Source organism: Homo sapiens, chromosome 20 (genome assembly GCF_000001405.40).
Source record: "Homo sapiens chromosome 20, GRCh38.p14 Primary Assembly".
NCBI lineage: Eukaryota > Metazoa > Chordata > Mammalia > Primates > Hominidae > Homo > Homo sapiens.
The window spans coordinates 1,914,884-1,942,311 of record NC_000020.11 but is presented as its reverse complement, the minus strand read 5'-3'; the positions used below and the strand labels follow the sequence as shown (position 1 = coordinate 1,942,311).

At 50.3% G+C, this 27,428-nt stretch overlaps 1 protein-coding gene across 13 annotated transcripts in view, besides 4 other annotated features; it reads right to left on the bottom strand.

The window, feature by feature from the left end:
* Positions 1,622-2,121: an enhancer, noted in NCBI's record as "H3K4me1 hESC enhancer chr20:1920837-1921336 (GRCh37/hg19 assembly coordinates)". NCBI's record gives its function as "activates a minimal SCP1, AML or CMV promoter by ChIP-STARR-seq in naive H9 embryonic stem cells {active_cell/tissue: H9 hESC(naive)}" and the evidence as "EXISTENCE:reporter gene assay evidence [ECO:0000049][PMID:30033119]".
* Positions 1,720-27,428, bottom strand: part of SIRPA (signal regulatory protein alpha) — a 46,426-nt gene continuing 20,717 nt past the window's right edge. For 4 of the 13 annotated variants that reach the window (XM_005260670.4, XM_024451836.2, XM_047439915.1 and 1 more), the window contains 7 exons: positions 26,857-27,213; positions 20,600-20,917; positions 19,667-19,999; positions 17,435-17,548; positions 14,413-14,437; positions 7,546-7,597; positions 1,720-4,992 (listed from right to left, as the gene is read on the bottom strand). In XM_005260670.4, coding sequence (XP_005260727.1) covers positions 4,744-4,992; positions 7,546-7,597; positions 14,413-14,437; positions 17,435-17,548; positions 19,667-19,999; positions 20,600-20,917; positions 26,857-27,213 — 1,448 coding nt within the window. In that variant the 3' untranslated portion in view covers positions 1,720-4,743. The remainder of the gene's footprint in view (positions 4,993-7,545; positions 7,598-14,412; positions 14,438-17,434; positions 17,549-19,666; positions 20,000-20,599; positions 20,918-26,856; positions 27,214-27,428) is intronic. The other 9 variants (NM_080792.3, XM_047439916.1, NM_001040023.2 and 6 more) reach the window with 5 other exon arrangements.
* Positions 2,122-2,623: an enhancer, noted in NCBI's record as "H3K4me1 hESC enhancer chr20:1920335-1920836 (GRCh37/hg19 assembly coordinates)". NCBI's record gives its function as "activates a minimal SCP1, AML or CMV promoter by ChIP-STARR-seq in naive H9 embryonic stem cells {active_cell/tissue: H9 hESC(naive)}" and the evidence as "EXISTENCE:reporter gene assay evidence [ECO:0000049][PMID:30033119]".
* Positions 4,137-4,689: an enhancer, noted in NCBI's record as "H3K4me1 hESC enhancer chr20:1918269-1918821 (GRCh37/hg19 assembly coordinates)". NCBI's record gives its function as "activates a minimal SCP1, AML or CMV promoter by ChIP-STARR-seq in primed H9 embryonic stem cells {active_cell/tissue: H9 hESC(primed)}" and the evidence as "EXISTENCE:reporter gene assay evidence [ECO:0000049][PMID:30033119]".
* Positions 4,690-5,244: an enhancer, noted in NCBI's record as "H3K4me1 hESC enhancer chr20:1917714-1918268 (GRCh37/hg19 assembly coordinates)". NCBI's record gives its function as "activates a minimal SCP1, AML or CMV promoter by ChIP-STARR-seq in naive H9 embryonic stem cells {active_cell/tissue: H9 hESC(naive)}" and the evidence as "EXISTENCE:reporter gene assay evidence [ECO:0000049][PMID:30033119]".

Here is a 27,428-nt window from a genome sequence, read left to right as displayed (position 1 = left end):
AGCAGTGGCAGGCTCAAGGGTGCCTCGGCTGGCTGGTGAGCAGCCAGGCAGCCATATCACCCTGATGTTCTGACACTTTGGTGGTGAGATGTGGTGTTTCTGGCTACTGACAGTGTCCAGTGTATCCTGAACATTATCTATGCCCCCCACTTTCTCACTATCAGCCCCAGCCCCCATCATATGCCCATTCAGTGCTGGACTAGACCATACCCACAGTGGCGTCACTTCCCGGATGGCGACCTTGGAGCAAAATGCTTAATCTCTCTGTGTTTCCATTTCTTTATTAAGTGGGGGATAATCATAGTACCTAACTCATAGGTTTGTTAAGAGAATAAAGTGAATTAATTTTAATAAATACTTGTCCAGAGTTTAGGAGAGTGTCTAATATGTAGTATGTGTTTATGCCAAAATTAAATAAACCTTCGTCAAAACTTGGCTGTTGGAAATGTGCTAGAAGACACATGGGCTTTTACAGTTGGGCATTCAAATCTTGGGGTTGGGGGCCAGTGGAGATTTTCCTGATTATCACGTAAAATGGGCAGGGGCTTCAGGTGGAAGGCAGAGGACTCTGGCCTGGTCCTCATGGAGGAAGGGAGTCTTAGCATTCTCCTTTGCACCAGGAGGAACCCCAAGGAGGTGTCCGATAAATGCCAAATGCTTGACTGATTTCCTGGAGGGCTGGAAAAGGGCCACTTAGCTCCCATCAACTTTCATTTCGCCTGCCAGCCTCCAGCCCTGGAGATTTGGCCGTGGAGAAGCAAGGCCCAGGTGCTGCATGAAATACACCCACCAAGTCTCCTTGTCTGGACACGCAGTCCATCATCCCCCACCTTCCCAGAGAATGGAAGGCATTTCCCCACCCACTCGGCCTGGATTCATGCCTTGAACACCCCATTCCTGCAAGCAGTGCACATATTTCATGGGTTGCTCCCGGAGGGAGGCGGAGAGCTGAACTCAGGCCACGGGCCAGGAAACTGCTGAGCTGTCTGTTACAGCCAAGGTCCTGGCCTGAGAGGAGGGTGACCTCTCTGAGCCCCGCAGAAGGCTCCTTGGTTCAGGTGGTCTCTGATCACATGGACCAGGCCAAGGGTGTAGGGATGATCCCCAGTGGGCTTGTGGATCTGAGTTCAAGTCTCAACTTGACTAAAGACTCTGCGTGAGATTGGTCATGTCACATGCACTTCCAGAACCTCATCTTTCCTTCTTTGCAAAATGGGCACAACCACAGCGATCTGATAGTCATGAGAATTAAATGAGGCAGTAAGTACAGTGTGGGGGAGAAGAGTCAGATTCCCTGGCTTCAAACTGCTCTGCCATGGGACATTGGAGAAATGACTTCTCCGTGTCTCAGTTTCCTTATCTGCAAAGCACAGAGAACAAGAGTTCCTCCCTCATGTAGCTGGGAGAAGGAAATGAGTTCTAACTGTGAAGCACGCGGCAGCACACTTGGCATAGCTGTTATTAGCTATCATGGTGGTTAATTTTGCAGTCAGTGGTCCATACATGACGTATTGATTATTAACCCAGTGGCTAAGCATCAGGCACTACAGTTATCCAGTTGGAACTGGAGGCTCAGTAACATCACTCATTAGCTGTGTGAACCTGTGTAAGTTGCACCCTCTCTCTGTGTCATCTACAGTCAGTAACATAATTGCCCTTGAGTCACAAGGTTTAAGAATTCATCAAGGTAAAGCGTTGACACATAGTAACCACTAAATATTAACATATTTATGCCTTAACTTTATTACATAATTAGCACTAATATCATTAATGATCTAATGGAGGGATAGAAAGGAAACTAACATTTATTGAGCACCCACTATAAACCAGCACTTGACATCAGTCATCTGGCAAGGATATTACAGGACAAGCATTAGATGTCTGCATTTGGTGGGGAAGGAAAGTGAGGCCCCAGGAGGAGGGTGAGCCGGGTGTCCGAGATCCCATCAGTGGTGAGAGGCCACGAGACTCAGCTATGCAGGGTCAGGGCAGGAAGGAAAGACACAAGCCTCAGTGATGGCCTACCCAGTGCCAAGCGTGGGCTCAGTGCTTCCAACCTCCTTGAATCCACACAGTCACCCTGGCAGGGACTATTCCTGCCCCATTGTGCCGACGCGGGGCCCAAGTCTCAAAGAGGTGCTGTTTGAACTCCCACAGCTACAAAGCAGCAGAGCCGAGATCCAAACTCAGTTGTCTATATGGAATTTTATCTCAACCTTACACCGGCTCCTTCTGAGCCAGGGCAAACAAAAATTGTACGTCTCTAAAACCTACGTGAGGGGCTCAAATGCTGTAGGTTGTTTCCAAACCCTGGGGTCCATTCAATCCTCTTCCAGGCTTTGGCAGGAGGGCAGGCAGGCCCCGAGGCGGCCCCGGGACGCACTCACAAAGACAAGAATACTGAACACCGGAAGGACTCATTATTACCCAGAAATCTTTATTACAAAAATATTTTGCAAGCCAAAAAGTTTAAGTTGCAACTATATACAAAATGGGGCCTGTTTCCTTCCCAGCAGTCTTAAAATAAACTCCTGAAACCATGCTCCTTCCGCAGGGTTGGTTCGACCTCTTCCTTTTCCTGGGGTTCAATACACAAGGTATGTGGATTCTCCAGGTTGCCAGGCTAAAGCTAAAGCTATACATCTTCCTTGGCCTTATTCCCTTATTTCCCCCTCCAAGAATTAAAAAATAAAATAAAATGAAAATGGCACCAAGAAAACATTCTTTTAAAATACTGAATGTGTGTGTGCATGCGTGTGCACACGTATGTGCTGTCTCTGGGTAAAAGAGAGGGAGACGAAGGTTTACAAGCCAATCTTTTGGAATTTGGAACTAGCCTGAGCCAGGTGGCTGGGTCACTGTGGCTCCCAGATGCCACACGGGAGCTCTGGCCAAAGCTGTCCACATGGTCTGTTGGCTCAGCTAATTCCTGGATGCCATCATTGAAATCACCAGGTGACCATCCCCCAGAGAGCTGGGTCTATGCTGAGCTCCTGCAGTTTCACCTGTAGGACCTCCAGGAATGGGCAGGATGGCTCAGCTACTTTTACAGCCTGAGCCAGAAATCCCTTGGGCATCCCAAGGCCAGGAGTCATGAACATTAGCGTCTCAACTCTAAGAGTTATAGTGAAGACTGAATAAATAGGGCTTGCGACATCTGCTTGCCCTGGGCCCGGTCAGGCCCTCACACCCGACTGGAAGGGTGGGGGTTAAAGGGTAACTGGGTCACACCCTCTGGCCAACCTTCTGGGACAGAGGGGGAATCAGCCCGAGCTTCACAGCTGCACCATCCCCCTGGCTGTCTTCAATTTATTCCAGTTTGATCCCAGTAGGGTTTGAGAGCAGAAATGGAAGATTTCTTCTTCAAGGATCAGCTCAGAAAGCCGGGATGGGGGCGGTCACTAAAGGGGTAGGATAGACGGCCAGGGCCACTATCCCTACCCTCTGTGTGTTCCTAAAGTGCTTATGAGAGGTGGTGGGGAGGGGTGTCATCTTCACTATCCCCACTTTACGGATGAGCAGACTGAGGCATTGGGTCTCGATAAGACTGCACTGTCAAGAGGCAGCCCTCAGCAGCCCTGGGCAGGCTGGACTTACCACAGCGGGGTCACAGAAGGCTGCACTACCAGCCGCGTGGCTCAGCTGAGAACATGGCCAAGTCAGTCCCAGCCAGAAGGCTGTGTCTCCAGGGAGTGGCTGACCTGATCCTTCTTGCCCATTCTTGGGGTTCTGGGACTTGGAGGAACTCAAGTCTTCGCTGTAAGAAAATCCCTCCAGGACAACAAACTGTTAAACCTCAGACTTCACAAGACCCAACCATGGACTTCAACACATGACAGACAGCCAAGATCACGTTGCTGTTGTTTTAAGAAAAAAAACAAAACAAAACACCACAGATCAAGTTTTCTAACACCTCAGTTTCAAGATTGCACGTTTCACATTTCTCAGTAATTTACAGGCGTCCACAGCGAGATGTTGCTTAGTGCTAGCTGGAGGGGCAAGCTCAGGTCTAGAAGGGAGAGATGGGTCCGGGTGGAGCAACACAGTTGGGCCCCAGGGAGTCTTGGAGGGACCCAAGGAAGCAGAGGGTTTTGTCTCCAGTCCTTTGGGAGGGGTCCTCTCCTCCTCCAGGACTCATGGCTCTTTAGCCTAGGGATGGGGGAGGCCAGGACTGTTGGCAGCAACCTCACCAAGCCTGGATATGGGTTCCAGAGTTTTTTTCCAGCTTTTCCATGGAAGGGGCAGTTTGATCTAAAGGGGAAATCTTCCCCACTCTAGCCCCAGTTGGGTGGTGGTGGTAGTGGTGGTGGTGGTGGTGGTGGTGGTGGTGGAGGTGGTGGAGGTCAGGGGAGGTGGGATTTTCTCCTCCCCACCCTGGAAGATCAGGCTTCGGAGCATCGGGGAGGCAGTCGAGGGTCTTCAAAACCCACATGGTGATGGACGGAGGCACAAGAGTTCTTGGACCCCAGGCAGTTCTGGCCACTTCCCAGGTTGGTTCCCTGGCTGGTTTGGCAACGTCAGCCTCCAGGTATGTGGCAATGTGGGGGGAGGGGGCCGTGGCTGCCCAGGAAGTGCTGGAGAGCCAAGGAGGGGTGGGGAGAGAAGAGCCACCCTGGCCCCTGGGTCCCAGAGCCTGCACCGCCCCAGCCCTCCGGGAACTGGGTTGGCTGTGCTCATCACGGCGGCTCCCTGTGGGACAAGAAAGCGCGTAGAGATGGGTGCTAGAGCAAACCACGGTCCCATTCACTTCCTCGGGACCTGGACGCTGGCGTACTCTGAGAAGGACGGCTCAGGCTTGGGGGCCGGCTGCTTGGGGGTCCGGTTGAGGTGGACCATGTCCAGGTCAGCATAGGTGAGGGTGTCCTCCGACGCGGGCTGCGGGCTGGTCTGAATGCTGGCATACTCCGTGTGGTTGTTGGGCTCCGCAGCCTGGGGAGCAGGCTTCTTCCCCTTGGGCAGGTTCAGGTCTGCATATGTGATATCATTTGTGTCCTGGATTTAAGATACCCAAAGAGAAAGTCATGAGAAGGTCATTCTATAGCCCCTGGCCCACTCACTCAAACTGAATACCAAGTCTGGATGCTTCTGTGTCCTCTCGGCCCACACTGGCTCAGCCATAAGTCATGTTCCCCTCATCTCTTGCCAACGTTACTTGCCTCCAGCCTTGCCCCTTCCCATCTGCCCTCCTCCTCACCCTGCCTGAAGGGTCTTTCTGACCCGCACAGTGCAGTCTCCTCACAGCCCCGCCTCAGTGTCACCTCCTCCCGTTCCTGCCTCCTCCTAGCCTGAACCACCTGCAGTCTTCACCCATTTCTCATGTTCATCCCTCGAGGGTGTCTGTCCTGCTTCTCCTTGTAACAAATCCCAATCCACCATGTAAATTTCAGATGAAGCATGGCTCATACTAAGACCCTCCCTGGCTCTCCCCTCTCCTGGCAGGGTCCATGTTCCTTCTTTGTGCTTCCTCAGCCCATGTTTGTTTTCCATCACAGGGCCCGCTACCCAGGACCATGTCTGTTTGGGGGCCTGAGGAGGTGCTGCTGATGGTGGTACGTGTGGGGACATTCATTAATGTATGCGTTTATTCCACAAATATTCACTGGGCATTTGTTATGATTCAGAAACCAAGGCTGGCACATAAGAAGTCTGATCCATATTGAATGAATATATGAGTGGATGGCAATAATTTCACCTTCACTCAGGGCAAAGCTGGGGACAGGGAGACAGAGAACAGGGGCAGTATAAGAACGAGATCGCCAGTTAGTGAAGCGGGAAACGTTCTGGAGTCAGAAAGCCTGGGTTTGAATCCTGGTTCTAGCTCAGGGATTTTGAGCAATTCACTTAACCTCTCTGGGCCTCAGTTTCTCCATCTGTAAAGAGGGGATGATAATAGTGTCTACTGCCAGGGTTGCTGTGAGGATGGAATGAGATTATCCAGGTAAAGCGTTTAGAACAGAGCCTGGTACCTATTGAGCATCTGTCTTCAATAAATGTTCGCAATCATTAACCACTTAGCAAACTTGGATACCTCCCATGTGCTAATCCTATCAACCTGCCACTGCCGCCTCAAAAGCGCCCATCATGAATGATAAACTTTGCTCCCTCTGTGACTGGCCCCTGCGTGATAGAACAGAATAAAGCTACCACCAACCGGCACACCTCCTAGTTGGTGCACGGTAATGGCTGATTTCAGTTCTCAGGGCTTACAAGCAGCACACAATCACATAGATCACCCCATCCACTCTTACCACAACCCTGCTTGGGAAGGATTATCTATTCCACTTTACGGCTGAAGACACTGAGACCAAGGGAGGTTCAATAAAGTGGACAAAGTTGTCCGGCTGGCAAAGAACCAAAGTGTGTTGGACTCTACGACTGTGCTCTTAGCACACAGCTCCTCTGTCCTGAGCCCTGCGTGCTCTCATTTGCTTCTGTCTGGGAAATCCGTGTTGACAGCGTGCAACTCCCTCCCTGGCCAGGGCTGGCACCTGGCACTGGAATCGCAGGCACTCTGCCAGCTGGGCTGTGACTGTCTGGCTCACTGTCCAGTGCGTGGCACACAGTGGGTGCCCAGTAAGTCTCTGCTGTGAATTTCGTAGAGGTTTCCATGACCCATTCTTCTCACCATCATTTTTTTCCCCCAGAAGATTCCAGGAGGAAGTCCAGAAGTAAAATGATGGGGGAGAAGATCTCCCTCGCTCATGACTGGAAATTGTTTTTTCTTAATTACAACTCGAGCTCATGTCCGGGGCTGCGGGGGGACCCCATGGGTCACAAGGGCAGGGCCAAGGCATTTTGGTCTACAAATGCTGCGCCTTTCACCAGCCCGACTCCTTCAACAGATTACATCTAAAAAGATGACAACTGCCTTGGAAATGTCAAGGACAGCTGGCGCGCTCTCGTTCCGGGTTCAGAGCAGGGCCTGTCTTGTTACAAGATGCTGAGCAGCCCTCTGCCTTCAAGGTCTGACAGCATCAGCCGGTGATAAGCAGGGCTAGGTTTCTCAGAAACCGTGTTGCTGCAAAATCATCTCAGCAATGCTGACCAGAAACCTCCAGCTTGAGTGAGTGTGCCCTTGTGTGAGGTAATTAATGACATGGGGTCTTTCCATCAGCAAAGGTGGGAGAGGCCCTGGCAGGCTGGGCTTTGCAGTTCCAGCATAGAAAAGCCTGGCTGTGAGGAGCGGGCAGTGAGCTGGGAGTGGCGCTCCTGGTAGAGGGATGGGCCTGGGCAAATGTAGAGAGATGGGAAGGCACGATCCACACTAAGGGAGCTGCAGCCTGACTCCAGGGCACCATTTTCATAGGACGGATTGTGAATGGTGCCCCTGGGGAGTTGTGCAATGGGTCGCACTGAGTCATGAGGCTGCAACAGCCACTCTTGGCTGCAGTAGAGAGAAGGAATATGCACAGGACATGGGGAAAGCTAGGAGTGTAAGATCCTCCACCCTCCACCCCACAAGGAGTCTTAATTTAGAACCAGATCTGCAATTCCGGTTGATGTGAAGCAACCACGCCACGGAGTTTCCCAGGAAGGGCATCTCACCAAGGACTGTACCTGTGTTATTTCTCTGGCATTCTTCTCGGGCTCATGCAACCTAAAAAGGAAAGAGACACACAGATAAAAATACCCTCACTATCTCAAGTGCTCATGCAAACTGATAAGAATAACATTTAGGCTCCATTTTCTATATGGGTTGAGGACATGAACGAAGGACTCATAACAGAAATACAACTGCATATCAAATGTTTGGACAAAGGGGTCAATCTCACTAAAAAGGAATTCTAAGCAATGCACTATCATTTTTTTAACCTACTCTATTGGCAAGGATCTTTAAAAATTATAATACTTGGTGCTGGGGAAGCTATGGTGAAATGAACTGGAGCTTTCATACGTCACTGGTGGGAGAGGCAAACCAGTACAATCCTTTTGGGAAGCAGCTGGCAAAATCAAGAGCTTGGAAGATGTCCTCATCCTTTGACTCATAATTGCACTTTTTTTTGGGGGAATTCAAAATATAGAAAAAGCTTTCAACACAAAGGCATTTGTCAAGGGCTGGATGGGGGAGGAGGTTTATGTCTTAGGGCTCTGCCAATTGGGACTGGTTAGGGAAATTAGGATAAATCCACAGATAAAGATTTAAAAGGTTTATGAGGAGGTTTTTTTTTTAAGTTAAAATTGCTTACATTAAAATGATAAGTGAAAAAGGAAAATTCTCTGTAGGATTATCTCAATTATGAAAAATGTGTGGATAACACTGGAAGGAAACATAGCAAAATGCAAACTGCAGTGGTCTTTGCATGGTATTTTTTTTCTCCTTTTTAGTTTCCCATATTCTCCAAATGTTCTGTATTATAAACATCTATGTATCATCATTAAAGAAAGAAAAGAAAAAGACCAAGATGTCCAAGTTAATCAAAGAAGTTGTTCGTGCACTTGCTTCTGTAATTGGAGGTCATGACTTGACTCACTGGAGGGTCACGGTCAAGGTGATGAGCAAACCAGAGCCACTGGCTTGGCAGAAGTTGTGTAAATTCTCAAGCCGGCAACCCCGGGGATGTTAGCATGGATAATGTCAGAAATGAGCAGTGGGGCTTGGCAGCAGGGTTATTAATGGATTTGGCATGAGTGCTTGGCTCTGAAAGCAGTTCTGAGACATGACAAGCCCCACGTGGCCACAGAAAGAACCCTCCAGGAGCAGGGGCACGTCTGCTGGGGAAGATCACGCAGATCTGTCCCCACACTACTGGCCTCCAGCCCTCCTGGAGCTTCCCACTGGCTGGCTGGTTCAAGTCCAACTCATCGCCCTGCTCAGAGTCCCACGTGGTCTGACGTGCTGCCTCCAGGCTAATTCACTGCCCTGCCCTCATGTACCCACTCATCTGCCCACCAGATATTTCGGGGGGGGGGTGGCATTTGATGTTATGTACTTCATGCTTCAATAGCAGCCTCGAAGGACCCCTTTGATCATTTTTCCTCTTGGCTAACTTTCCTGTTTCCTTCAAGACTCAACTATGGTGTCACCTTGTGATGGCTCTGCTGACAGTGCTGCGCTGGCTGGGCTGCCCCTCCATGACAATCTCAGATCTCCTGTCTATCTGCATATCTGGTTTCTATTGCTGTCTGCCTGCCTGCCTGCCATGCTTCCTCACCACATGTGCTCAAAAACAGTGACTTGGAATGAATGCCAGTCAGGCTGCCCCAGGGCCTTTGCATGCTCCATGCTGCTGCCTCTTAATCTGCTTTAATCCTTTTCTTCCTTCAGATGCTATTTTTAAACAGCCTTTTCTTGGGGAAATATTCACTGAACCCCCAAACTCCATTCTCAAAACATTGGGTTCTTCTCTTTCAAAGCAATTTCAGACAATAACCAATTATCATTTTCCCCATATCTGTGTCTCCCCTGGATTTTCCTATTTCAGTGAATAGCTCTACCATCGGTCATCCTGTGCTCAGGCTGGAGAAGTGGGAGTCAGTCCTGATTCTTCTCTCTCTTCCTTTACAGCTCTCATCTAATCCAACCTAGGGCTCGTCGGCTCCACCTCCAAAATATCCATCAAAGCCAGCCACCCCATCCTCTCCACCATCCGAACTCCCCTGATTCCTGAAGAACCTCCTCCTTGATCTCCCCACCTCTATTCCTGCTTCCCTGCCCTCCATTCTCCCTATCTGAAATGCATAAGTGATGTCATGTTACTTTTCTGCTCAGAATGCTCAACCCCTCTATAACCACTCCAAGGTGGTCAAGTGACACCAGCTCCAAGGCTCAGCTCGGCCAACTGCTCTAGGCTCCATCCCTCTCCTGCCTCTGCTCTGCTCCAGCTCCTCTGGCCTCCTCTGCGTTCTGTGCATGCATCTGACTGCTCCCGTCTCAGGGTCTTGGCACTGGCTGTTCCCTTTGATTGGTGCAGTCTTGTCCCAGATATTCCCTTGGCTGGAACCTCCTCATCCTTCAGTGATCTTCTAAATGTCACCTTGCAGACAAGCCCTCCCTGCTCGCCCCAGACCCCACCTCCTTGATCTGCTCTATCCCATACCTGGCTTCATTTTATCTAGTCAGCAGCTGCACCACATCCCTTATTAACTTTCCAGCTTGTCTGGTAACCTGTCTCCTCAGCGGACACTGAGCTTCACACAGGGAGGAACTGGGCCAGTCTCATTCACTGCTGAAGCCCCAGCACCAAGAACTGGGCTGGCACATCGTCAGCAGTCCATATGTATTTGCTGAATGAATGAATGAATGAATGAATGAATGAATCTTTCTCACTGGCTCTTAAGTGCCATGAGACCAGGGGTGGGCCTTTTCTGCTCCCCTTTGCAACCCTCTGCTCAAGGCTTGGCACTGAGTTAGGCTCAGTCCCGACGAATAAATGAAAGACTCAGGGAAGCCCTAAATATTCCAAGAATAAATGCAGTGAATGTCTGACAAGTGAATAAATGGCTGATCGAATGATCAGTGCCCCATTAAGGGAGCAGAGACACATTTTTCTCTCATCTGAGCTGGGGAAGATTACAGACAATATTCTGTCTGTACATTCCTAACCCAGGGAGTTAGAGAGAGCCAATCCCTCCACCAGCCCTGCAACCTGAAGAACCCCTTGAGCTCAAAGTGGCAGCCTCCCCGCTTGCAGCCTCCCTGAGGTGCTCAGCTGTTACTCACACCAACGTCCTCTGGAAAATGTCTGATCCCAGCAAGCCAAAGCCGAAGCTGGCTGCTACATGGGAAACCACCATTAGCACTCACTAGCTATTGCTTTGGTTTAGAGAGATGAAAGGGAGCAAGTGATCTCATGGCTCCCTTGGTAGGCTCACGCTGGAAAAATAAAAAACAGGCAGAAAACGGTTGGTTTCTCTGGGGAAGAAGAAATAGACAGCAAGAAGCATGGGAACAGTGATGAAGGCACTAGCTTTAGTACAAGAGATGTCGAGGCTGAAGTCATCATTCCGGTGCTTCCTAGCCGCAGGACCTCGGGAATGTCACGACTTCTCTGAGCCTCAATTTCCTCAACCATAGGATAGGGAATAAGAACCTTCTAGAACAGGGGTTCCCAAAGTGTGGCTGGGGAACAACAGCATCAGCACCACCTGAGAACTTGTGGAAATAGAGATTCTCAATCAGGGACTTTGGGGGTGGGGCCCAGTAATCTGTGTTTTAACAAGTCCTTTGGGGATTCTGTAGCACACTCAAGTTTGAAAAACACTGTTCTATGAACTTGGGACAGTGATAAATCATAGGGTTCCTGCAAGAATTAAAATCACAAGTGGGTTAATACACATAAAGGCATAGATAGTGCCAGGAGCACAGTAAGTGCTCAATAAATGGTAGCTGCTATTGCTGTTACTATTATCGACAATGTCCTATTCTTCCAGAAACTCATTGTCTAATCGGGGAGGTAAGACAAGTAAAAAATAATGACAACAGGGCCGGGCGCAGTGGCTTACGCCTGTAATTCCAGCACTTTGGGAGGCCGAGGCAGGTGGATTACCTGAGGTCGGGAGTTCAAGACCAGCCTGACCAACAAGGAGAAACCCCATCTCTACTAAAAATACAAAATTAGCCGGGGGTGGTGGCGCATGCCTGTAATCCCAGCTACTCAGGAGGCTGAGGCAGGAGAATCATCTGAACCTAGGAAGCGGAGGTTGTGGTGAGCCAAGATCGCACCACTGCACTCCAGCATGGGCAACAAGAGCAAAACTCCGTCTCAAAAATAAAAAATAAAAAAATAACAACAAAAAAAACAAAAAAGAGAGATCCTCCTAGATGGGGCTGTGTAGCCACTGGGAAGCAGCATTTTAGGGATTCAGAGAAGGCAGAGTGGGACGTGCTACAGTGGTTTAGGATGGTATGCACTGATCCATTCATTCATTCGTTTGTTCACTTGTTCAGTCAGTAAACCTTTACTAAGCACCTATCCCATTCCAGGCATGGTGCCAAGTTTAGCAGCTATTTGCAGTGAACCTCAGGGACATTGGCCCTGGCCTTGAGGGGTGGGTTATGAAATGGGACAGGTGCAGAGACACCTTGAACACACCAGGGTGTCCACGCTGCGGCACCAGGAGGGTTCACAGGAAGCCCTCCGACCCTGGAGGATGTCGTGCCCTTGCTGATCTCAGGAGAAGCAGGAGGTGAGCAGGTGACAGGAGGGGTCCCACTCTAGCTACCACATTGCATAACTCCAGGGGGTGCCATTCACAGAGCCCACTGTGCCTGCCACCCCTGGAGCTGGGGGACCCTGGGTAGTGCATGAGCAGGGGCAGGGAGCACACCCCAGCAGTGAGGGCAGTGTGCAAGGGGGAGGAGGGCAGACTGTGGGAGGAGGGAAGGGGGGAGCACAGTGTGGTTGAGCCGTGAAATGTGAGGACAGGGGGTGGCTAGAAGTGAAACTGTTCAAGGCAACTGGACCACAAGGGGCCCAGGAGCCTCAGGGGGGCATCTGGACTTTATCTGGAGGGACAGGTAGAGCCACTGAAGGTTTTTTGGCAAAGGATATAAACGAGTCTTGCCCTTGGAAGAGTGACCTAGGTGTGGGAGTGTGACAGGCACAAGCATGACAAAAGGAAAACACATGTGCCCAGAAGGCAGTGAAGAGCCTAGTTTTGCTGGAGAGGCGGCTCTGCTTGTTCAGGGGAGGAAAAGGCCAGGAGGCTGGGCAGGGCTCAGACCAGGAGGCCCCCTGTGGAGATCAGAGCAAGAAGCAAGGCTTTATCCCAAGAGTACCTTGGACTCACACTGCTGGGCAGGAGCGGGGCACCTGATGCTTCCCAGAGCCTTCTCTGGCAGAAGAGCTGCTCCTGCTATATGCAACTGCTTTGCCTGATATTTGCCCCATCACTCCACCCATCACCTGCACCCCCCAACTCAGGATACAGCACTCCACTGCCCCCAACCTTGAGGTGGTCCTTAACCCTACAGCCAATCTATCAGCAAGTCCTCTTGTGTCTACCTTCAAAATATATCCAGAATCTGAGCACTTCTCAGCCCATCCCACCACTTTGGTCCAGGTCACCATCTTTTTCTGCTTGGACCAGTACCGCTATGGTCACCTACACATCCTCACCTCCTGTAGTCTGGGCTCCACATGTAGCCAGGCGACACTTTTAAAACAAAAGTCAGATCGTGTCCATCTTTTGGTTCCTCATCCCACTGCGGATAAAATCCCGAGTCCTTCTAACACCCACAGGCCCCACTCCAGATCATCATGTCCTATTCTGTAATTCTGAAACCCAGAAAGCTCTAAACCATCAAAAGATTGGCACTATGCAGTTGCTGGCAAAACCTGGTGTGAACCAACATGAAGCTATTTATAGTTTTATTTATCACTCTTAGCACGGATGTCCACATGGTTCTATGCAGATGGGTTCACATGGCAGATGATGGTGTGCTGCCTCTGCTCTGCTGGGGATGAAGATCAGAGGCCTTCCAAAAAGCCGATAAAGGCTTTTCACAGAATAGTTCGTAACACCTCTGACTGCAGGGGCATCTGCAAAGGACACCGGGATGCCGAGGACCTGGGTCTTCCTGACCTTATCTTCTTCCTCTCCTTCCCTCTGGCCCAGCACACAGGCCTCCTCTCTGGCCCAGCATGCTCCTGTCCAACATAGCTCACTAGTTTCAGGCACCCGTTTGCATCCCCTTTTCAGAGGCAGTCCCTTCCTCTGCCTAAGACAGCCCCCCACCATTCACCTCCATCTCCTTGCAGGGTAGGAGTTGTCACCACCTGATATGACACCATGAATCACTTTATTTCTGCGTTTATGCCTGTTTCTCTCACCGGCGTCTGAGCCCCATGAAAGCCTGGGCTGATTCTTGTTTACTGCTATATCACCAGCTGGTCCTGAGCAGGGCTGGCACATAGTAGGGACTCAAGTCACTAAAAATGTGAATCAACAAACTAAAGTGCCATCGGTGACGTACATCAGTGATGTAATGTCACCGTCTGAGCCTCTGACCAGGCTGTGAGCTTGCAGAGGGCACAGATTCTATCCTACTCATCCCGGCATTCCAGGGTCACAGCACGCCAAGGTACTCAATAAATATTTACTAAACAAAGGAAAGAGTAAAGTATACAACTTGGATCTGGGAGGATGCATCCGGTGGCGTGTGCAGGATGTCTGTGAGGACAGAAAGCCCGGGAGGTCTCTGCCCCAGTCCACATGGGATTAGACAAGGGTCTCGTTGTCTGGGAAGAGCAGGCAAGAAATTAGCACCTCTGTGCACCAAAAAAACCCCTCATTTGGGACAATAATTAAAAACAGCGTGACCCAGTGTGAGGAGGTTACAAAGGAGAGAAAGAGACATGTTGACCAACACATTGGTGAGGTCAGTGGACATGGATTATGCTTTGTAGTCTGGGGGGCTGTCAAATAACCAAATAATAACTGCAAGAGGGTCTGGACCAATGATGCACTTACCTTGTAGAAGAAGTGGAGCCCTGGGCTGAAAGACAAAAGAAACAAAAGCCAGTTGTTTAACTAGAAGCACACTTTTCTTATGTAACTATTTTTTGGCAAAAGGTTTGCCTCCAGGGACATGGAGAGGAAATGCTGTAATCACATCCTTGGAACCACAGGAGACCCCCATGCCCACCCAGTGGGCATCCTCTTCCACCAAGGAAGCCTGGGAAGGAGTAAGCTAGATGGTCCTGCTTTTCCACTTCTGGAAGTTGCCAGGGGTCCAAAAGCAGCCTTCAGCCTGGGAGGCGACAACCGCCCTACCTCTGTCTGGGTCTCACCTCCATTCAACCACAAACCTCAGCGGAGACCCTCCAACAAGCCTAGGTCCCAATCAGTGCCCTTCGTGGCTTGAAAACAGATTCTAGCAGGGCTGCAAATCGGGGATCATGTGTGAACCCCGGGTCTGCTACCCACTCACTCACCATGTGACCCCGGGTGGGTCACTTCCTCTCTCTCAGCTTCTATAACTTGCAGGGTTGGGCTGAGCATCCATTTATTTACATGCCACCACTTTCCAAAAAAAGGATCTTGGAAGGAAAGAAAGTGTCCATCTGGTTCAGAGGTTTTAAACCTGTGATATGGGGTAACCCACAGAGAAGCCTCCAGGGTTCAGCAGCCGTTTGACTCCCATTTTGCTGTAAAATTGTAATTAAAAAGCAACATGCACACCCAAATGCACTCTGCACCGCACTTTAATAGGCTGGAGGCTGCCACAGTGCAAGAATTCTTGCTGCTGGGTTAACGCTTGCTGCCTGGGCAGGTCCTGGATCTTTAGATGAGGTGTACCAGTTGGAAGCTGTGCTCAGCACCGAAAGTCTGAGTGGAGGCTGACAGGTTGCAAAGTGCTGGACACAAGTCATCTCTGGGAATCCAGTGATAGGACACCAGTCACCCCCTTTTACACCAGAGAGACTAGGTGACTCCTCAGGGTCACACAGCTGGGTAGTGGTTGAGTTGAAATCAGGACATTTCACTGTGAGCATTGAGAGGCTGGGCAGACCCCTCCAGGGCCTAATGAGGGAGAAGGGGGGTCTAGTTATGGCGGAGGGAGGTAGTGTGCAAGGTGGTCCTAGACATGGTCCTTGGGTTTAAATTCTGGCCCCACCACCTCCTGGCTGTGAGGCCCTGAACAAGTTTTATAACTTTCCCATGCCTCAGTTTCCTCATCTGTAAAGTGGGGTTAGTAATGTCACCCATGAGGTCTGTGGTGAGCACTGACTGTTACTACAGGGAAAGCACAGTGAGCAGTGCCTGGCACATTGGAACTGCTGGGGGATACTAGCCGTCCCTGTCACTGGAGCCTGTGTTTGAGAGCTAGGCTCTGCACACAGACCTGCCACTCGGGCTGGGTGGCCTTTACCAGAGCTGCAGCCCTGCAAACTCCATTCCTCTGCAACACCTAAGCCCACAGTAATGAGCTCACGTGTGCCAGGAGCTGGCGTGCTGCCTGGGCCTGAGACTCAGAAAGGATGGCCAGGATTTCACTATCGGCTGCTATGAATGCTTCATCCCATGGGATGGGCTGTCACCCTTGGTGGGGAAGGGACCTGCTTCCCCATCCAAGGAGGAGTCCTCCCTGTGTGGGGCTCTCCAGGAACTTTAGGGAACCCATTGGGTAGACGTCTTGGTGGGACGTCTTGCAGATTCTGGAGAAGCAGGGCCTGACTCCAACCCTCCCAGACAGAAGCATCAGGCTTGGCCAGTATCTCAGAGCCAGCCCAGGAGGGAGGGAAACTTGGGAGGCAGAGGTGAAGGAGCTACTGAAGGGATGCGTGATTAGTGTACAATGTGCCCAACCAAGCTCAGCTGTGCCAGGCCACAGAAAGGCAGCTCGGGACAGCACTTGTCCCTTTGGAGGCGGTGGGTCACAACCAGCATTTTAAACAGAAAAAAGAATATGACAAAAAAGAAAATATCAGTTTTAATTTTATATACAAAGGGTGTGTGTATGTGTTGGGTTGAGATGTGAAATGTATTTCTATCTCTTGTAATAAAAAAAGGTTGCAGAAATACCAGCTTAAAATTGTCTTCTCCAAGAGTGGGAAAGAGAACATGTATTTATGGCGATCCTAGAATGTGTCAGACCCGTTATTTCACATGGGCTTATTTGGATCTTGTAACTTCTCCAAGACAGGCGTTGCTAAACCCATTTTACAGATGGGGAAACTGAGGCTTGTAGAGGCCAAATTGATTGTTTACAGTATATAACCAGGGTCTGGAACCCTGGTTTGTCTGACTTCAAAGTCAGAGGCCCTGCCACAGCAACAACCAACCCTCCCAACAACCAGCACACACACACAGACACACACGTAACACGTGCACACAAACAAGGGGAAGCGGTGTCCTGGGTTTGACCCTGTGCCCTCCTGCTGTGCAGTCAAAGGCTATGCACCTTGCCCTGTGAGGGGGCTTTCTAGGGAGGTGGCTCATATTTCTGGGCTCACATACAATACGGGTAATAATCAGGGCTGACATACATTGAGCACTTGTGTGCCAGGTTACTTCCCTAACATTTCCCATGCAATCACTTGTTAAGTCCTCCCAATCAAATGGTGGCGCTATTATCTCCATTCCCTCTGGCCTCCTGTCCAGGGACTGGTCATGTAACCTAGACTTGTACCAGGAAAGCAGAAGTCTGCCGGGAGGCTCCTGGGAAAGACGATGTCCTCCCTGAGACAGGTAAGAAGAGTCCCTGCCTCCTCTCTTCCCAGGCTGGCAGCTCCCTTGCTCAGTAGTGGCCCCTTGAGGACACGGGGCCTGGGGCAGTGATGAACATCTTGTAACCATGAGGGGGAAGCCACAGAGTGACCCACCCAGACTCTAACATGGTGAGGCCACTGCCCCAGCCCTAGCACCACTACCTCTGGACTTCTTGCTACTGGCAGAAGCTGATGTCCTTAACCCAAAGCACCTAATGGCGTCTCCCTCCGAGGACAGTCCAGGGACAAACCCTTAGGGAGGAAGAGGGGAATGCACCCACCTTTCTTCTGTCTGATTCGGACGAGGTAGAGGGCCGCCATCAGTAGGGCCACCAGCAAGGTGCACACCACACCCACCACAATATAGATGTTCCGTTCATTAGATCCAGTGTTCTCTAGGGACCACATGGAATAGAGGCTTCACGTATGCAGATTAAAAACAGAAAACCAAACCCACCACTGCTTTTCACCACTAAGCAGGCATCATTAACTGAGAACATCTGGCTGGACCTTCTTAGATGTCTCGAGCCACATGGGCACACTCATGGGTCTGTACACACTTGCCCACGAGACTCATCCATGAACAGCACAAAAACCATGCTGAGGTGCCAGGGGGGAATATATTTGTAGCTGACAGCTACGGAGGAACCCCTGCTGCAGGATACAGGCAGAAATCTCACTCCTGAGGAACAGAAACGTTCCTTCTCATCTGGAGTGAACCACAGAGCGGTCATGAGGGCACCCCAGATCCACTGGAAACTGAATCAGCAGCTGGAAGAAGGGCAGTGCGGCCAGCAGGCTCTGCACAGCTCAGGGGCTGACGACCGGTCTGTGCCCAGCACCTGGGCCATGCACACTGGGCTCAGGAGTTAGCATAGGGGCTCTGAACCAGGACTCTTGAAAATACAATGGAGGCTTGACTGCCCACAGCACAGGTAAGGGGGTCATAGACTAGAACACAGTGGTTCATCAGAAGCAGGGCTCTAAGCCACAGAAAAGTGCTTTCAAATCTATGCTACTAAGTAGCTGTGTGACCCTGGACAAGTCAGTTAAGCCTCCCTCCAAACCCTGGCTGCTTCTTCTGTTACTGGGGCCAACAGTCATCTCTACCTCATTGGCTAACTAAGGATTATGTAACCAACCAACCAACCAACCAACCAACCAACCAACCAACCAACCAGCCAACCAACTGACTCTTTTATCCTCTTTCACTCAAAAAGCATTTACTGAGTGCTTACTGTGGTCAGGCCCTGAAGCTACAATGCTGAGCAAGATAATCATGGCCCCTACCAGCTGAGACTCAGAGCTGAGGGGTCATGAAGCTCATCCCCTTCAACACAGCCAGAAGCAAGTGGAGGCCCAGAGAGAGGCACTGACTTGTCCAAGGTCACACAGCCAAGTATGCAACATAGCTGGCGTGGAAAGCCACACATCCTGTCTCCCAATGCCCTACACATCCCATGAAAACCTGGCATTGCCCAATGCCCTACACATCCCATGAAAACCTAGCATTGCCCAATGCCCTACACATCCCATGAAAACCTGGCATTGGCCGATGCCCTACACGTCCTAGGAAAACCCGGCATTGGCCAATGCTCCACACGTACTATGAAAACCCAGCATTGGCCGATGCCCTACACATCCTAAGAAAACCTGGCATTGGTGAAACCAAAGGGCCACTTTGACACAGCCCCAAGGCTGTCTTTGAGAGCTTCCCTGAAGGGTGCATGAAGGACAGAAATGGCTTCCATTCTAATCCATTCAAGGGTTCTACTATGTACAGGGCATCAGCCACATTGATAACAGGTGATGAAATATTCCATGGCTGCACTGAAATGCCAATCAGGTGCCACCATTTGAAAACAAAAGAGATGTACACCAACACCACGTTGCAAGGGCTGAGAAAATGATACCTTGACACCCTCACACTCTCTCAGGGGAGCGACAGCATTATCTCCTCCTTACATGAGTATGCATTTTGGCCTAAAGTGTTCCTTGGGCAATCACACAGAAATAGTCACATGTGGGATGGAACATGCACAAGGATGTTCACTGAAGCACTGACTGTATGTGAGACAAGCTGCAAACACCCTGAATGACTCCACCCTGGCTTCCAGTGGGGCAGGCTCCCAATGGCAGCCAGGGAGATGAGGCAGGGGCTAGAAAGAGTAGGGAAGAGGGGCTGGGCCAGTGAGGAATGGGGAGCATGACAACTGTCAGGTGAAGAAGGCAAGAGGCAGGACACCATGAACAGATGGGCCCCCTCTCTCCCTCTTTCCTCCTGTGATATAAATCTATGTCAAAAGATCTATCAAGATGTGCATCAAACTCTTACCAGTGGTGACTCTTGGAGTGTGGGATTTGGGGAAATGGAGCTGACATTAAAATTCTACTTTATATTTATAGACTTCTAGATTGTTCTATAATAAGCATGAATTACTACTTTTAACATTTAAAAAACCCACAAAACTAAAAGTTTAAAAAAGCTGGGTCAGCTGAAATAGAGGCCTCACCAGCGGCGGTATTTGAGCCCTGCTCCTTCGGGTGGGCTGAGACCTTCAGGTCATGGCTTTTGCTGACCGCTGGCTGCCCGTCATGCTCCACCTGGCAGGTGAGCTTCACATCATCCCTGTGGGCAGATACATTCACCAGGAGCCAGCTCATCCAGTTGTAGGTACCATCCTTGTTCTCTGTAACGGTTGAGGCCGTTTCTGTCCGGGACACGTTTCCATTCTCCAACCAGGTCAGCTGTAGTCTCTGGGGGTAGAACTTCCTCACCTGGCAGGTGACATTCACCTGGTTCTCTGCCCTCACGGGCTGTTGAGTAACCTCCAAGGTGGGTGGAACTGAAACAGCACAGGGCAGAAGCTCTGACCTTGTGGCACAGACAGATCACAGGGAGGGCTCCATAACGTAGCTCCCCCACCACGGTGAGGTCATCACCAGGACAGAGCTAGGCAGGCATCAGGTGCTCAGACATTGAGGGTGCTCTTTGCATATGAATGAAATTACTAAGCACAACGCCCAGCACACAGTAGGTGCTCAAGGACTGGTAGCTCCTACTAGGCTAAGAATGAGGGAAATCTATAAGCACCACCCCTGGCATGCAGTTGGAATGTTGTAACTGTAGCAAAATAAAGAAAATCACCAAGCACATAGAGGCTTAGTTCATAGTAGGTACTCATTAACTGTGTTTGCTATCAGTGAAATAAATGAAACGGCTAGCACAGTCCTTGGCACCTGGTGGGTGGTGTGGTCACCCAGCCACTGCCATTAAAATGTTAGTAAGTGGCTGGCACATCTAGGGGCATGGGAGGTGGGCAGTTAGGAATTTAGGTTCCAGGCATTTCAAGCCCTGGAGCAAGAGTAGAGCTGGATGAGTGGAGGGTGGTGGGGGGTGGGCTTGGCGGTCAGGTGTGGGCTTGGGCTGGGTGAGGGTCTTCTACCTCGGATGGTCTCAGACAAGTTGGCAGTCCCACGAAGAGGGTCCCCCTGCAAGGTGACGTGGGCCACCTCGCAGATGACTTGAGAGTGAACGTCCTCGCGGGTCAGCACCACCTTGGCTGTGCTGTGGATGCTGTAGGACACGCTCTCTCCTACGGGGTCCACGTTGGTCTGGAAGTCTGAGAGCTCATTCCCATTTTTGAACCATTTCAGGGTGATGTCTCTGGGTGAGAAGCCGTGGGACTCGCAGGTGAAGCTCACTGTGTGCTGAGGTGTGGCCCTCGCCGCAGGGCCCGATACCACGGGGGCAGAGGGTTTGGCTACAAAAGGACCATCGATAATCAGGAGACATGACTCAGATGACAATCACTAACGATAAGTGTGTGACACGTTAAGAACCTTCTGAGACATTATTTTTTATCCTTCCAATAATGTGGAAGGATTAATGAGGGCGGTGTCCTTATTGTCATTTTACAGAGCAGGATGCAAAGGTTGGGAGAGGTGAGGACCCATGTGAGGTCAGACAGTGTAGGGGCAGGGCCCAGAGGGAAGTCCAGGCCTGAGTTCAAACTTCTCCACTCCACACAGGGTGACTTCCAGCAATTTGGGCACAGGATCAAAATTAACGATCCATCTCATCCTTGGTATTAACTGTTTCTACCCTGCCTCCCCTGGCAACAGTGCCAACCTCAGAGAGAGCGTTTATAGAGGTCAGTGCAGGGAGTAAGCAGCAACGTGGCATCACCATGAGAGCTGGAACCAGGCCGCTCAGCCCATGAGAGGGGCGGCCTGGCACACCCAGCTCCTTGTCTGTAAAATGGAACAGCAGCATTTCTCCTTTCTGGGATGCAGCGAGGATTAAATGAGGCAACAGAAGCAGTTTTGCTTTGGATAAACACAGAAGATGCTTCACAAAAATAAGCAAAAACAGATCTAACTTTAACCCAGACTTTATTCATATCCAAAGCTCTCTCTTCAGGTATTTATGAATTTACTTCATATTTTTCATTTTCTCCACAAATATTCCAGCAGGGTCTAATCTGTGCCAAGTGCTAAATTTGAAAGGAAGGGATACTTTTCTGAATCTGCGGTCTTCTTTGGTGTCAGTTTTAGATAGACACTAAAGATCACCAAGTGTGGAGAAAGCCAAAGTGGTTAATTATCAATTAATTACACAGACACAGGGCGCCCAAGCAGGCAGAAGCACTTCCTGGGTCCTGAAAGCACACACATGGCTGAATCAGAACGCGGGCTGTTTCTCCCTGCAGATGGGTCGTAAACGTGTCTCCAAATTGCTAATCATTACCCCATACCTCCTATCGCAGTCACCAGGAAGCACATATCACACATACTTGCATTTGTAAATATTAACTTCTCCCTCACACCCATCAAACATTTTGAGGGCACAGTAAGGAGGGTGTCACTTGAAGAAGTCAAGTCATTGAGGCCAGCGGCCTGGATGTCCCCACAGGGCTGAGGGGCTGCAATCAGTTCCCATTTATCCAGGGCTTCTCTGGAGCTGGACACTGGCTGCTCCCTCCATGCCCGTCAGCTCTTTAATCCTCACTCCATCTCTGTGAGGGGATCCTCGTGTGAGCCCCTTTTAGGACAAAGCTCAGAGAGGCCCAGGGCCAAAAGTGGATACAAACCCCACCCTGTTAAGAAGAGGGAGGATGAATGCAAGCACAGAGCCTGGTATGCAGCAGGTGCTTAATAAATGACCCCTGTGACTGTTATCAGGAGGTCTGGTCATTACTGCTTCCGAATCTACACATTTATCCTTCAGGCAGCAGAACAAAGCAGAGCAGAAACACCAAGAAAAGGCTCAAACCCTGCTCCCTGTGGCTCATGACAAACCCAAATGATACAAGGAGCAGAAACCACCAAGTGAGGATTCTCTCCCCTTTTCTAAACAATCCCCTCAGGAAACAAGTTTGGCGAATTGGCTTTCAAAACACAAGATCACAGGCGCCTCCCTCCAGAAGAGCCATTTACAGAAGCTGGAAGCATTTTAAAGGAGGAGGGAACAGACTCCTCCGTGACATCTTGGTGTGTCGAGGCAGGGAGGGTTCTGGGGCCGAATTGGAAGGATTTGCTGGGATTCCGGCGGTCATTTAGACAAAAACATTTTCAGGATGGAAGGTTTCCCCACACTGAGGCTGGATCTGAGCAGGGCTTTGTCTGGGGCCCCTACCTTGGCCCCCGAGGCCTGTATCATAAGAGGGGGTCTGGCCAGGCCACTGGGGCCTCCAAAGAGCTGTCCCGGGTGCACGTTGTTCAGAAGCATCCACACCCTGAAAAGCTGTTCTCCCATCTGGCACCCCAAGAGGACCATCTTTTCCAACTTGTCCTCCGTGACCTCTGGGTGTCTATCCCAGGGGTTTTCAGTCCTGACTCTGTATTAGAATCTTCTGGATTAATTAAAAACTTTAGATGCCTAGGCCCATGCCAGGCCAATTGAAGAGGCATTTCTGTGGTGGAGCCTGGGATTTATTTCAATGTTTCCCAGATGATCCTAAAGAGCAGCCAAGATTGAAAACTACCTGAGTACATCCTAAGGACCATTTATCCTTGAGGCCTGGAGGAGCACTAACCCATCTGAGGTTGCATGGCTTCAGCATCACACAGCTCACATCTGTTGAACATTGACTGCAGGCCAGGCGCCTGCTGCCCTAAGCACGCTACAGGATTTAACTCATTCGGTCCCAACTCCTGGTCTGTGAGGTTGGTGTTATCACTGACAAGTGAGGACACTGAGGCCCATGGTGGTGGAGTGCCTTGTCCCAGGTCACAGAGCCAGGAGGTGGCAGAGCTGGGATGTGGCCCAGGCAGTTGGACTCTGGCCACACTCTCCTAACCACACTTCTGCAGGAGCTCAGTGATAACCCGAACACCGCCACCATTCCGAGGCTCTGTACATCCTCTCCAATCCTCACAGAACCTGTGAGGGTTGGCAATCATCATCATCATTTCATAGACAGGGAAGCTGAGGACTCAAGGGAAGCCAGGATTTGCCCAAGATCACATGACCTTGGGAAAACCCCATTGCTTACTAAGGTCTATCGTCGCCCCAGGCTCATTGCATCCTCATAACATCCTGGAAAGGTTGGTACAATTATCGACGTTCTACGCATGGGGAAACTGAGGCTCAGCAAGGGGAACTGGGTTGCCCAAGGTAACACATCTTAAAATAACACCTTGATGGCAGGGCGCAGTGGCTCACACCTGTAATCCCAGCACTTTGGGAGGCCGAGGTGGGGGGATCACCTGAGGTCAGGAGTTTGGGACCAGCCGGGCCAACATGATGAAACCATGTCTCTACTAAAAATACAAAAAAAAAAAAAAAAAAAAAAAGCTGGTGTGGTGGTGGGTGCCCCTGTAATCCCAGCTACTTGGGAGGTTGAAGCAGAATCGCTTGAACCCAGGAGGTGGAGGTTGCAGTGAGCCGAGATGGTGCCATTGCACTCCAGCCTGGGCAACAAGAGTGAAACTCCATCTCAAAAAAAAAGAAAAAACAAACAAACAAACAAAAAACCTTGATTTGGGGGTGTCTACTCTGCATTGGGTGTTTTATACACAGGAACTCAAATCCTTTCCACTCTGCCAAAGGAGTCCCTGATTATCACCATTCTACAGATGAGGAAACTGAGGCTGAGAAAAGCGAAGGCACTGTCTCCTCATCCCTCATGTACCCAATGGGCATTTCCAGTGTTCCCCAAGCTCTCATGTCAATCAATTGAGCAAGTGCCTGAACTTCATGAACCCTGACACTGACCACCACCTTCCCTTTTTCCCTTTGAGATCCCTGACTTCATGCAGTTCTAGGGAGAAGCCTCCCTCCAGGGTACCCAGATCTGGTTACCCTATAGCCATAAACTGAAGTCAGTGGGCTCCTGACAGCCTGAGGGGATAATATAAACTCTTGCTCCAATGAGCCCCAAGCACCCACCAGGAAATGCCTCATCTCCTCATCCTTAGTCCTCAGCACCGTGAGTAGGTGGGCACGTGGTCTGCTGGGCTGCAGGAGGCCCAACTCTGCTCCATGGATGCTACTCAGTGATGTGCTGAGACCTGTCCTTTAGGAACAAGTTCCCATATCATGAGACATCTGCAGGACCTTTCTGATGGGGGCCAGTCCCTCCTACTCCCATAGGACTTGTTTTGTTTTTTCTTTCAAGACAGAATCTTGCTCTATCACCCAGGCTGGAGTACAGTGGTGCGATCTCGGCTCACTGTAATCTCCGTCTCCTGGGTTCAAGCATTCTCCTGCCTCAGCCTATGCTTATTGCTATAGAACTGCAAGAGTTTGGAATGAGTAGGGTGGAGCATTTCTCCACACTTTGACAAGCATAGCTGAGTGTTACAGAGACAGGGGCTGTGAGTCAGGCTGGTGGGGATCAAACCTTGGCTCCCCCACTGGCTCACCACACAGGTCTCCTCTCTGAGCCTCAGAGTCCTTATCTGTAAAGGGGGCAAGAAATGGCTCTTCCTTCATAAGTACTTGTTATAAAAGGAGAAAGTGCCAGGATGAGGATCCAATCCAGCTGCTGCTCCCTGGCCCCCTCCCACCTCCCTCCTTTCTCATCCAGGGCATCATTTAGGCTGACAGCATGGCAAAGAGGAGTGAGCACTCTGCTAGGAGTCAGCAGATCTGGGTCACACCTGAGCCACGTATTTGCTGTGATTGTCTAGGCACGAGATGCATCATCTGGGAACTTCAACGTCTTTTCCTGTAACATCTGCACAATCAGGATAAAGCCACCCTCCCTGCCTATGTCCAGCGGTTGTGGGGAGACTTGATTGTTATAATGTCTAGGAGGGAAATTAGGCCATATCCACACACATTAAAACACACACCCCCTCTGATCTAGCAATGGCACTTGCAGTGGGCGTCTCCCACCTGAGTAAGGTCACACATGTATAAGGTCATCCACTGCAGGACTGTTTTAATAGTTCAAGTTTGGGGACAAGTTACGTATCCATCAATGGAAGATGGTAAAATAAATCTGGTATTTCCATAAGCTGGAGTATTCTGTAGCTATTACACAATGGAGCAGGTCTCTATCCTGATATGAAATCTCAGTATCAAATGATATGGCTTACATTTGGGAGCGGTTTTCCAATCACCAGTGGGCCTAACGGTCTGAATGTGAATATTCTGAACCTTTAGGAAACTGATGGAAAGGAGAAGTGCTGGCTTCCTGCTTAGCAGTTCTGTTCAAGGAGCTTTCAGTCGGCACCTATGATGCACCAGGCTCTTCTATGTAAACAATGGCTAATGAAGGAGCCTCCCTGGAATCAGATGTGGGCTCTGGTCCAGATCCTGTCACTAACTGGGCCTATGACTGTGGACAAGGCCCCTGTCATCTCCTGACTTCAAGTTTCCACCTGTAACTAGGGGTTGGGCTGGATGGTCTGAGGGTCCTTCCTGTACTAATGTCCCAGGATTCGGAGTTAGAACAAGGATCCTGGGGCTCTGGCAGTAAATACAAAATGAGCATCTTTGCTGCCTTAACGGAGGAACCCAAAGTCACCTAGAAGGGAGACCTCCTCCCTGGGGTGAGAGACATTCTATGATGACCCAGCTTTGTTCAGAGCCTTTAGTGACGCATGAATCAGTCCCTAAATCACACAAGTGTTTTTCTAAAAGACCCACAGAAAATGCCCAACCCTCTGGCTTCTCCTCTCACCAGGGCCATCAGATTAAACAGTAAATCTGTGCCTTTTAGGAATCTTCTCAGTTGGTGTTTGGTGATGAAATAAAGGAAACACACCCTCTCTGCTCCCTGCCCTGGGTGGATCTCTTATTGGAAGGGATGAGAACACAAGCTTGGCGGAGCCTGGCACACAGTAGGTTCTCAGTGAGTGCCTGTCACATAGAGGAGACTCGGCTGCCCTGAGAGGGAAGTGCTCTCTGGAGGCAGCAGGTGAGGTCTGGTCCTGTGCCTGGGCAAGTCACACTATCTGTCAGTTTCCTCATCTGTGGAATGAAAGGGCTGGGTCAGCTTTGAAGAGGCCAGGGCTACACAGCCAGGCAGATGAAGGATGCAGATGTTCCCACCCTTTACCAGCTGTGGAGCCTTCAGCAAATAGCATGACGTCTTCAGGCCTCAACTTCCCTTATTTGTAAAAGGGGGAGACATCAATTCATGGAAAGGAGCACCTACCACCACACCTGATCATTGCTCAAAGAATGGAGGGTGTTATTATTGAGTTACTGTCACAAACCAGAGGCAAAGGAGGCCCACGCTGTACTCACCGCGCACAGACAGCTCAGTGCCTGCTCCAGACTTAAACTCCACGTCATCGGGGCTCCCTTTCCGGAACTTCACACAGTAGTAGGTGCCGGCATCTGCTGGGGTGATGTTACCGATGCGGATGGAAAAGTCCATGTTGTTTCTCTTTGTGAGGTCTGAAACAGTTGTTACCCGGGGGAAGTGGCCTTCTTTTTGATTGTAGATTAATTCCCGGCCTGGTCCAGCTCCTCTGAACCACTGGATGGGCCCCACAGGGATCAGAGAGGTCGCAGTGCAGCGCAGAGTGGCTGTCTCTCCAGCTGCAACCAACACGGACTTGTCAGGCTGAATCACCTGCAGCTCCTCCTCACCCGCCACTCCTGGAAAGGAGCACAAAGCAGTCATTTTTTCATCCTTACGTGATCCTCTGTGTTTCCTCAAGTGTTTATCAATGACGTTCATTGACTGGATGCACACCAGAAGCAGGCTGTGAGATCAGTATAGTGCATGTATCATCTCATTTGACCCTCACAACAAACCTGCAACATGAGCCTGTATTCTAAGTGGGGACACTGAGGCACAGAAAGCTAAATGA